Source organism: Homo sapiens, chromosome 5, assembly GCF_000001405.40.
Source record: "Homo sapiens chromosome 5, GRCh38.p14 Primary Assembly".
In the NCBI taxonomy this organism is placed as follows: Eukaryota; Metazoa; Chordata; class Mammalia; order Primates; family Hominidae; genus Homo; species Homo sapiens.
The window spans coordinates 170,189,585-170,200,886 of NC_000005.10; the positions used below are offsets into that span (position 1 = coordinate 170,189,585).

General features: G+C 44.1%; 1 long non-coding RNA gene across 1 annotated transcript; it reads right to left on the reverse strand.

Moving 5' to 3' along the window:
* Nucleotides 1–2,062: 2,062 nt before the first annotated feature.
* On the reverse strand, nucleotides 2,063–9,557 carry LINC01187 (long intergenic non-protein coding RNA 1187). Its single transcript, NR_108022.1, has 5 exons — nucleotides 9,158–9,557; nucleotides 8,168–8,245; nucleotides 6,900–7,047; nucleotides 4,332–4,422; nucleotides 2,063–2,679 (listed from the first exon to the last, which is right to left on the reverse strand). It is a non-coding gene; the product is annotated as a long intergenic non-protein coding RNA 1187 (long non-coding RNA).
* Between the last annotated feature and the right edge of the window lie 1,745 nt (nucleotides 9,558–11,302).

Genomic DNA, 11,302 nt, shown 5'->3' on the forward strand with positions numbered 1-11,302 from the left:
TCTGCACTCCTATTTCTTAGCTTGAGGCAAGATGAGGTGGATGGAATGGGTTATGGTTGAGTTTAGGTAGATCCCTTAAAAAAACAGATGACCAGAGGGACAGGAAGAAACACTTTTACATTGCCGGTGGAAATGTAAACTAGTACCACCACTATGAAAAACAGTGTGGAGATTACTTAAGGAGCTAAAAGTAGAACTACCATTTGATCCAGCAATCCCACTACTGGGTATCCACTCAGAGGAAAACATATCATTATACCAAAAAGATACTTGCTCATGGATGTTTATAGCAGCACAATTCGCAATTGGAAAAGTATGGAACCAGCCTGCATACCCATCAATCAATGAGTGGATACAGACATTGTGGTATATATATATACACCATGGAATGCAACTCAGCCATAAAAAGGAATGAAATAATGTCCTTCGCAGCAACCTGGATGGAATTGGAGAACATTATTCTAAGTGGGAGGGGAGTGAAAGATAAAAGACTACACAATGGGTAGAATGTACACTGCTCAGGTGATGGGTGCACCAAAATCTCAGAAATCACCACTAAAGAACTTACCCACGGAACCAAACACCACCTGTTCCCCAAAAACCTATTGAAATGTTTAAAAAAGAAAAAAATATATTAACTCTTTTCAAGGAGTTAACATTTCTGAATGACATGGAAGTCCATACACAGAATTTTCCCTCTGCCTTTGGGCCTCCATTGATTTTGAAACAGTTTCCCCAGACTCATAGCCCAAACCTATGGGCAGTTGGCTCACACCTCTTTATTTTCATACTGAGATCCTTGGGGCTCTTCCCGACATGCTGCCCCTTCCCTGTGCTTTGTCCTCTATTCATGACCTTCTACCCTCCAGCCAGGAAAAACCAGCACCCTCTGGTTAAGGAGGCAAATCCTATCACATTCACAGTGCAGAAATCTTCTGCAGTAAGAGGTACACGTTGGCTTGACTTCGCATTCCAATCTGAGGAAGGCTAATTGTGAAAGTGCTTGTTCAGTTGTTTAAAATCTAACGTTGAATATGGGAAGTATAGGATTTTTACTTTTACACCCTGCAGAAGCATGGACAAAGTTGCAAAATCCTTCATGAAGGGATATTTCCTTCTTCCTCTCATGTCCTTTGAAACAGATTCATTTCTCCTTTCATCTTTTAATGAAAATTTAGCTTTTCTTTCTGGCAAGACCTTAGGGTGAGGTTTAGAACAAATTTCAGTTAGGCATAGAGAGTAAATGCAGTGTCTGGTTGGGGTGGAATCATTGGCTTTGGAATTAGATCAATGTGGGTTCAAATCCCAGCTCAGCCATATCTATGAAAGCGTGACTTGCAGATAGGTGACCACAAACACCACAGCCGTAATGATGATAACGTGCCTCATGCTAAGGTTGGGTTATTTGCAAAGCACCTAGCTCAGCCCCTTTAGGCTCAAGTTTCATTTAATCCTCACAAGGACCCCAAGAGGTAGTTTACATTTACAGAAGAGGTAGGTAACTGAGGCTCAGGCCCAATATGGTTAAGTTTCTCCCCAGGCAAGGTGGCTTTGAAGCTGGAGCTCCCAGCCTCTCTGACATATTGTTGTGTAATTATTGCTATTACTCTTGACAGACTAACCTCTTGGATAAGACCTTGCAACTTATATAATGCAGAACCTTCTCTTCCCAACCAGACGGATTTCTTTGATTAAAGTGTTTGCATCTCCTTCATCTCTGTATTTCTCACCCCCCCAATCCCCGTGGAAAGTGATTTGCACATTCTAGAGTTTCATGAAATATCAATTGACTAACATAAGTGGGCTTCGGAGAGCCTCCAGCTTTGGTTTTGCAACAGCAGACCTCTCTTTCCCTGTCCACTTGTCTTTTAAAAAATCATCTTAAATATGATTGACCCTTTATAAAGGTAAACATATCAAATGCAGAAAATTCAGAAACTCTAATGAAGAAAAAAATGATTTAGAATTCCACTACCAAAAGGTATCATTTTGTCTGATTTCCTTTCAATTTGCCTATGCAGAGATTTATGTTATTGCTCTTTACAAACATGTATTTTTTTTTACAATAAAAATAGTACATTTGCACATTAGGAATGGGAAAAAAACTGAAAAATAATACAAGTTACTCAGAACACCACAACAAACAGTTAGCTGTTGTTAACTTTCTGACACACGTTGATTTGACTTCACGTTCTAATCTGAGGAAGCCTAATTATGAAGGTGTTTTTTCAGTTGTTTGCAGTCTAAAGTTGAACATGGAAAGTATAGGATTTTTTATTTATTCTTAATGGCCGCATGATATTCCACTGTGCGGCTGAACCAAAAATCATTTAACCAGTTCCAAGTTGTTGGGCATACAGCTTGTTTTCAATCAGTCGCTTTATACATACCAGTGAAATAAACATCACTGCTGTTGCTGCTAAAGGATTCTCTGGTCACCGACCAGGGGTAGACGTAACTGGGGTGGGCCCGCATGGCTCTCAGACTCCAAAATGTGAGTTTCATCTGCCTTCCACTGTTGTTCTTCTCAGTAGAGGTCTGCCTGCGCCACCTGTGCTTCTGAGCCCATCTGATGCACTAGATTCATCTGGAGGAGCAGGTTTCTGGCAAGGAACTGAATTTGTGGGTTCCCCTAGGAATCTCTTGCAACTTTTCTAGTGTGTTGGCTTCTGATTTCTCCTGTAGGTAGACACACAGGAATAGAGGGCAAAAAATAGAAAAAGAGATTTTTAAAAACTAATTGATACACATAAAAAACATCCCAACAGTTTAGAGAGAGCAAAAAAGAAAAAAACCATCTCTCTTTCTCTCTCTCTTCCTCAGACGACTTATTCCCTTCTAGAGGCAGCTGTTGCCCACAGTTTCTCCTGTTTTCTTCCAGAATTGTCTGCACAGACACCTCTCTATCTATCCACTCACACAATCATCTCTATCCACCTATTCGTGTGTTCAGCTATCTTTTTTCTATGTGTGTATATAACTAGCTGTTGATCCACCCAGTCATCCATCTGCAGAAAAATCAGGAATGTTTAAATGGGTAGTTATCCCAAATACAGCAGTTCAGAGGGGGCTTTAGGAGGTAGGAGCCTGGGTCCCCAGCTCACCACCAACCCACTGATGCTCTCAGCCTGTTTCCTCTTGTGTAAAAAGAGGCCGACAACACTCCTGGGGGCGGTGAATGTGCCCTGGTAAGTGGAGACATGGCGCCGATGGAAAGGCCTGGAAAGGCCCATGGAGGGTGCTGCTCTCTGCTCAGGCCTGCAGTGAGGGAAGACCCAGCGTACTTTTTCACCCAAATGAGGGGAGCAGAAGAAGGCAGAGGGAAGCGAGGAAGGTAAGGGAGTGCCCCCCGGCTCCCCCACCGCCTGGTGGAAGGGACAGGGTGATGTTTCATAAACATTACGTCACGTGTTTTCAGGGAGATAAGGTGTTTAGTAAACGTTGTTGGAGGAGGACCTGGCCTGGAGAGCCATCTGCATGACCACCACCAGGACACGCGGCTGCCTGCTCAGACCGGCTTCAGGGGCCTCCAGCTCGGCTTGCCCAAAATACAGGAACCAGCAAGCGGAGCTGGCTCTATTTAGTGTAAATAGAGGCAAATACTCTTTTGCTGAAGGACAAAGAGGTTGTGCAGGGAGAGGGCCGGCAGCCTCCTCTGGTCAGCAGTCAAGGTCTGTGGGCACCGGGAGCCCAGCATTTCCATGTGGGGTTCAGCTCTCTGGAGCTGGGGTTTGCCTCAGGGGCTTCGTGTAGCACAACCCCACAGAGAGGCACTGACATAAAATACCATGGGAATGGTGCCCCCTGGAGTTGTGTAGCAGGGTGCCTAGTGCAAGCACAAGGAAGTGGTCACCATTTGCTTACAGAGCAGACCCTCTGGGATCCTAGGAAACCTGAATTGGCCACCAGGTCCCCTACTGTCCACCATTTGCCCTCCTCCCAACCACTGGAGGGCCCTTGGCTGCATCAGGCTGGCACTGGGCAGTAATGGTGTACTCTTCCTTATCCGAGTAAGACTTCCCTTCATTCCCACACAGCTGAGTCAAAGGTGGCAGTGGCACAAGATGCCTTCCCTGAGCCAATCCTCTCTGGACCCTTGCCAGGGAGCAGAAATGTCACAAACGTACAAATCTGAGCTCAACGAGGAATGTCTTTGCTAACTCTCAGGACCCGCAGGCATGGACAATGGACCAGACCCCATCCTATTTTCTTTCTCAATTAATGTTCCTGACATATTAACAAATGAGGAAATTCTAATACAGATTTGCAAAAATTGTGATACAATTGAAACTTCTGCATTTAACAATTTAATGCTTTCAACATATACTCACCCAAACACACCGACTTGGCAATAATACCGAGTCTGAATTGGAAAGGCTTCATGAATATTAGGCCCAGGGCAAATTTCTCTCTGGCTCTACTCTGTCAAAGAAAGTGAGAATTTAGCTTAGTAAGAGGTGATGTCCTCCTCACTGGAGGCATGTAAGCAGAATGGATACCACTGAGGGAATCACTGCATAGGCCTGAGGCTGTCTGGGAAATGTGAACTGCAGGACATCTCCAGCACCAAGGCATATTTTGTTCTAAATCTAATTGTAGAGAAGTCCTGGGTGGCCATGATGGCTCATGCCTGTAATCCCAGCACTTTGGGAGGCAGAGACGGGCGGATCACCTGAGGTCCGGAGTTCAAGACCAGCCTGGCCAACATGGTGGAACCCTGTCTCTACTAAAAATAGAGAAAATTAGCTGAGCGTGGTGGTGTGCGCCTGCAATCCCAGCTACTCAGGAGGCTGAGGCAGAAGAATTGCTTGAACCCTGGAGGAGGTGGTTGCAGTGAGCCGAGATTGCACCACTGCACTCCAGCCTGGATAATAAGAGCAAGACTCCAACTCAAAAAAAAAAAAAAAAGATCCTTCCTGCTGAGCTGAGCTGACTTGGCTGTGAGCAGAGGCAGAGTCTGGGAGGCACCCCAGCCTGAGCAACTTTTCTGGAACTGCATAGTGTTTGATGAAATGGATTGAAAACCCAATTTCCAGCTCTGTGCCAATTTGGGGTCAAATGATATATTTCACTTTTGTCAACGAGCTTTGCTTTTCTGAGCCTCAGTTTCCTCATTTGCAAAATGGGAGTGATACTTCCTGACGTTCTGGGCTGTCGTAAAAACTAAATAAGATAGTGTATGTCCAGGCCAACTCAGCATCAGGCACACAGTTAGCACTCACATATGTGACGTGAGAGGTGTGAGGCACCCTCTGAACTAAAACACTAAATCAAAAAACAGATACGGAGCTGGGCATGGTGGCGTGCACCTGCAATCCCAGCTACTCAGGAGATGGAGGCAGGAGGATCCTTTGAGCCCAGGAGCTTGAGTTCAGCCTGGGCAACATAGAGAGACTCCATCTCTAAAATAAAATAACATAACGTAACGTAACGTAAAGTAAAATAAAATAAAATAAAATAAAACAAAATAAAATAATTAAAGAAAAACAGATATGGGGAGGAGCTCTCTCTGGCTTTCCCTCCCGGCTCCAATTCCACAGCTCCGGAATCCGCACCTGGTAGACCCTTTCGCTCTGAACTCAAATGCCTGGCCTTATTCTGGCAGGGTTAGAAGCACAGGCTTGCGTTCTGGGGGATGAGTACAGGTAAGCCACTTCCCCGGGGATTTCACTGTAGCTTCTGAGCACATACAGATAGATAGTATCCTTATAATAATATTATTTATGCGGCTCTTATTATTTGCTAGTTACTTTCTTTGCGCCCTTAAGCAAGGAACTAAACCTCTCTGAGCCTCAGATTCCTTATCTAGAAATCAGAGAAAATAATAATGCTTATTCAGAGCGATTGTGAAAATAAAATTAGCTCATACATATAAAACAGAACAGTGCTTGATGCACAGCCAATTCAAAATGTAAATATAATTAACACTATAAATACATTGAAACAATATAAAATTAGTTGTTATTTGGCAGGCACTGCGCTATACACATATGCATGATTCTCAGAACAACCTTCAAGGTATCTACTATTATTATAATCTCATACAACAGTTGAATAAACTGAAAAGTGAAGTAAATATTGCCCTAGACCACTTGGCCGATAATTGGCACATCTAAAATTCAAAATTGATTGGCTCATTCCAAAACCAAGCTCCTAATTGTTATGTGCTCATCAGTGTGGAAGTAAGAGATTGTCAAATATTACTTCACACCCCCCCCCTTCATTAGTTAAAAAATAGACAACCACCACCTCAATGATGCCAACAACTACAAAACTCAACTCCACAGGACCCCTGTCATGCTACGAGCAGATGGCATCGATCCTGACTTTGCTGCCATGAAATCCCCTCAAGAGAGCCCCACATCAGGGGTCCTGAGTTTGCAGACAGTCATTAGAGACATCCTTGTTTGGGAAACAGCTGCCCTCCACCCTGATTTCACAGCTGGGGAAACAGGGCCTGGAGAGGAGACTCATCTGGTCCCCTCTGTTTTATGCCGCTCCTTTCTCTTGCCAGTAACACCACACCATGGAGCTTTGCCTCTCGGGGCCCATTCATCTCAAATCCTTTTTCTGATTAGCTCACTGTGCTGCCTGCCACCCAGGTTCTCATCAGAGCACTCACGGGGCCTTGGCTATTTAAAAATTCTGTTAACTCGAGAAGTCTCTGCCACTGCCCCTGCCAGCACCAGGCTCACCCATGTTTGGCTTTTGCATTCTGTGCTTCCTAATCCCATTTCTGGGGCTTAATTATGATTACACAGCTTTATTATGTAGAATTGATTTTAAGTAATGGCCCTAATTAAGAGTGAATTTTAATTAAGCTTAATTCAGAGCCTGCCTCCGATTGCCAAAGATTTGCAGCCTGAGAAGAGGAAAGGCTGCCCGTGCACAAAACTCACACGTGACTTTGATCTTCATGCTGCTGGACTGTTGCAGCCAGATGGGTTTGTACTATTTTCTGGCCTCAGGGTGCATTTCTTCACCAGGGTGCAGGAGGTATCAGCTCTAGTCCATCTTCCCCTTCCATGCAGAAGCAAACTCGGAGCGCTGGCAATAAACAGAAGTGGGGATCCTGCACCTTTGGGGTGAATATCAACTACACCACCCACCCTGTTGTAGAAAATGAAGCTCATTTGCTTCCTTCCAACTGCTCATGAAACCTGTTCCACAGGTGAGAAAACTAAAGCTCAAGAAGGCCACGGCACACACAGGCAGCGAGGGCAGCAGGAAGATTGGAAATCAGCTCTGCTCCCAATGCCTGTGCCCACTCTGTTCCAACACAGCCTTCCAGTAAGTGGCAATCATCTCTGACTTTGGCAGAAACCAACCTGCTTGAATTTCCTGCCTGCCCACCTAAGCCACTGCTTCCCCAACTTTAGAAGCTCATACGCTGTGAAGGTGGGTCTTTTATGTAAGAGTGAAAAACATCTCAAACCAACTTGTTTTCAAACGAAAATTTTTTCCTACCTTTAAAACTGCTATAAAGCAAAAGTTGTCATAAAAATGTTAAAAAGGAAATAAAACAATGTGATTAAATCCAAATCAGAAACTATTACCTTCTAAAGCCCTAGGAGTAAGGCTTGATCTGCCTGACTTTAAAAAACAGAGATGAGAAGATAGTTCGACCACAACAGCACCAAACTGAGACTTTGTCCCTAACATAATCGGAAAGACCGAAAAAGAGTTGGGAGGACATTGTGTTGCTCCGTGATACAGTGTTATTTAAAGTCGTGTCCAGGTGTCAGCTAAAATCGACTCTCCTTTGTCCAACATTTTCACGGACACTGATCCAAACCAATTTAGCACAGGTTTCCAGGGACCTCTGGGTAATAATGCCCCTCAGCTGCCCTACAGATGACAAGATTCTGGACAGAAACCCAGCTCCCCTAACCCACAGCCCTGGCCCAAGGACAAGATATGGGCATTCCTTTGGTGTTTCAAATAAAAACACAGTGAAATCAATATGTTCTCCAAGACCGGCTGGTGGAGGCTGTTCACCTGCGGAGAAGGGGCCTGGTCATCCGGTTCCTGAATGCCTTTGCCACACTAGAATGTTTTATGGTTCTAAAGTTCCCACCTTAGAAAATCACCCACTAAGAAGCCAAGCTCTGAAAACGTTTTGATTTTTCTAGAGGGAAATGGAAAGTGAAAAATGGAATTCAATTACCTTGAAAAGGGGCAATTTCACTCACAACTGTTACACTTAAAAGCTCCATATGAAACAGGCATTCAAATAAGTCTCAGCCTAAGTTAAAAGAAAAAGGGGAAAAAGAAAATCATGTATTAATCCTCTTCCCTCTACTCCTTCTGACCTAGTGAGTCTTCCTTAGACTCAAAAAAGATAGATGGACTTGAAACACGATTAAATAAGCATGTTAGGACTTTAATAATCCAAGCCGCAGGAGTTTCTATTAAAAGTTGGGTATTTAGAAGAACCATTTGGTTAACCAGTCTAGTGACACAGAAACCACCATGTGAGGGAGGCTCTTCTGAGCAGAGCTGAAGCAGGGACTCCCTGCTTTTCTCTCAGAGATTTGGGGGTAAAGTTACCATCAGACCCTTCAGTTCAGCTGAAAACTCTGAGATGCCCAATACACTCCCATTTTCTACTTCAAGGAAACTTCACTAAAACAGAGGAAAAGATAATAGCCTTGATTGAAATAGAAAGGCGTTACAGAAACTGACACCAAACAACACAACAGACATCATCATCCCATCATAACCATGACGCGCTCATTCTTTCTTTACATCTTCATTCCTGCTAGGTCAAGGCAAGCCGTAGAAGTGGTTTTGTGACCACCATGATGGTTTCCCAAGGCAAATTTAGACAGCATATTTTCTCCTACCACAAAAAACTCCAGCCAGACTCTCCAGTGGTTGAATTCCTATTCCTCAAGTTACCAGCTGTGGAACTCTGTGCCTCAGTTTCCCCATCTGTAAAATGGAGATAACAGTAGCATCTACCTCATAAGATTGCTGTAAATATTAAATGAGATAGTGCTTAGCACAATGCATGGCACATAGCAAGCACTTGGTGGCCGATCAATGGCAAATACGAACACTGGCTCGAGCTTACTGCCATGGTTTATCTTAGCAGCTCCTGACTTGCCTGTTGAGAAAAAATGCTCCTAAACTCAGAAGTATTCAGAAAACCTACAGCAAGGTGGTGAGAGACTAGACTCTTCAAACCTCTGAGGTGCTTTTCTGTCCTCATTCCAGTTTTCTGCCCATCACATTGGCCAAAGAGCTCTAGCCAGAGTTGAAGCCAGTGCTGATCACTTTCCTGACAACCTGGCTGGCAGAGATGGGACCGTATGTAGCACAGGGAAGAGGTGTGTTTTCAGACAGCTTCCTCTCGGAAATCCATTTTGACTGTAGATCCAAAGAAAATCCTTCCAGGCTTCTTGTGCACACGCCAAAACCTGCACACATGTATGCATTTCTTCCTCTCTGTGCATCTCTCCTGCACATCTGGGCAAAAACCAATCTCTGCAGGTAGCATCTTGTGCATATAGCTGTCCGGCCCTATGATAAAATGCATTGTTTCTCTCTGAGTGAAGCTTAATGCACCTCAGCCTGGGGATTTATACTAAGCAATAAAATCCACAGGATAGAGAAATGCAAATAGATTGTAGAATATAATATTATCATTGTCAACATAAAAGACTTTTATTTACTGCCCCCCAAAAGAAAATACACCATAGTGTCGTTTGTTTCAGGGAATGCAAAAAAGGTTTCAACAACTAACAGGGCATGTTTCTGAGCAAAATATACCCCGTATATAATGTTGGAACACATATTGTCAGTGGCCACTCGTGTGTCTGTGTTCTTGCAAACAAACCTGTGGAATTGAGTCATGGAAGGTCACTTCCAGCCACCTCTCTGAGCCACACGGCACCTACCTGGCTCTGTTCACAAACAAACCAGACAATATAGACCTATTTGAAGGGAGAGACCCTCTGAGGCAGGCCACACTCCATCAGCACATCTTAGAATGAGGCATTTGAGTAGTTGCTGACTTGGCTTACTGGGGAATGGAGTTGTGGTGGAGGTTGATTAAACAGATGGTCCATGTTGCTTTGGGCAAAGGGAAAAGTTAAAGAGAAGATGTAGCAGAGCACATGGGAGGTGACAACTCCATCTTTTCTCTAGAAGATATCCCTACAACTCCCCCTTAATGCTCAAGGTCATTCCACCAATGCTTTTGTTGCACAGGGTATTGACAACTTACAAGACCAATTATTTTCACTGATTTGTTTGAATGATAAGTCTGTTGTTTTGTGTAGGGGTTTGGCTATGATATCAGACCCAGTCACAGCAATTGTTTCATTTCTGTCTACAAGGGCAAGATCTAAGTTTATAAGGCTTTAAACAGCCATAATTACCTGAATGACATTTTATGTGAAAAATATATTCTAACTGGTTCTCCCAATAGCCCTAGGAAATATACCCTAGGTGTTATTACGGCCAATTTACAGGTGAGAAAACCGAGACTTCAGAGAGGTGAAGCACATTATCCATGGCCACCCAGCCTGTAGGAGGGTGGCTCCAGAGGCCTCAGTCCTGAGCCCGAGCCTGTCCTGCTTAAGCTTACATCAGGAAAGCCCTTACGTGGCCTGTGCTGGGTGCTCTGTCATGGGGACATCTCACAGGTTTGGTAGGTTTTATCACTCCTATTTTACAGGTGAGGAAACTGATACTTAAAAGAGGAAAAGTGTCTGCCCAAGTCACACAGATGTATATAGCTTGACTGGATTCGAACCTAAGTCCTGACTCCACCGGCTGTGTGGTATAAAAGGAGAGCTTGAAGGTGTCATCATTATCCCCTTTACAGGCCACCACAACCCCTATCACTGAGGGAGTTTTATAAGTTTCAGCAACCACATCAGTAATCTCATTTTGCATCCACAAATTTCTATTTTGTCCTTGCAGCTCACTTGGACAGGGAATGTCCCGCATGTTTGAAAAGATGGTTCAGAAAGGAGCCTTTGGCAATCCCCAGGGTTTCTGCACCCAAGATGGACTGGAGGGATCATGACAACCAGTTGCAATCAAAGAAAAGAGGAAACCATATCCGAGAGTGGAAGCTGTTTTCTTGCTTTCAGGGATCAAATGTCATGACCCCCCAACTCAGTCCTAATGCATCCTCCACAGACATACTCTTGAGCTCTCACAATCCACCCTTCAAGTCATGATGGGGCTCAAGACCTTCACTGGGCTTCATTATCACAGAGCAAACAGGGTGAAGAGGACTCATTTATTGAAGCAACAGATATTGGTGACCAATGAAATTGATGACCAC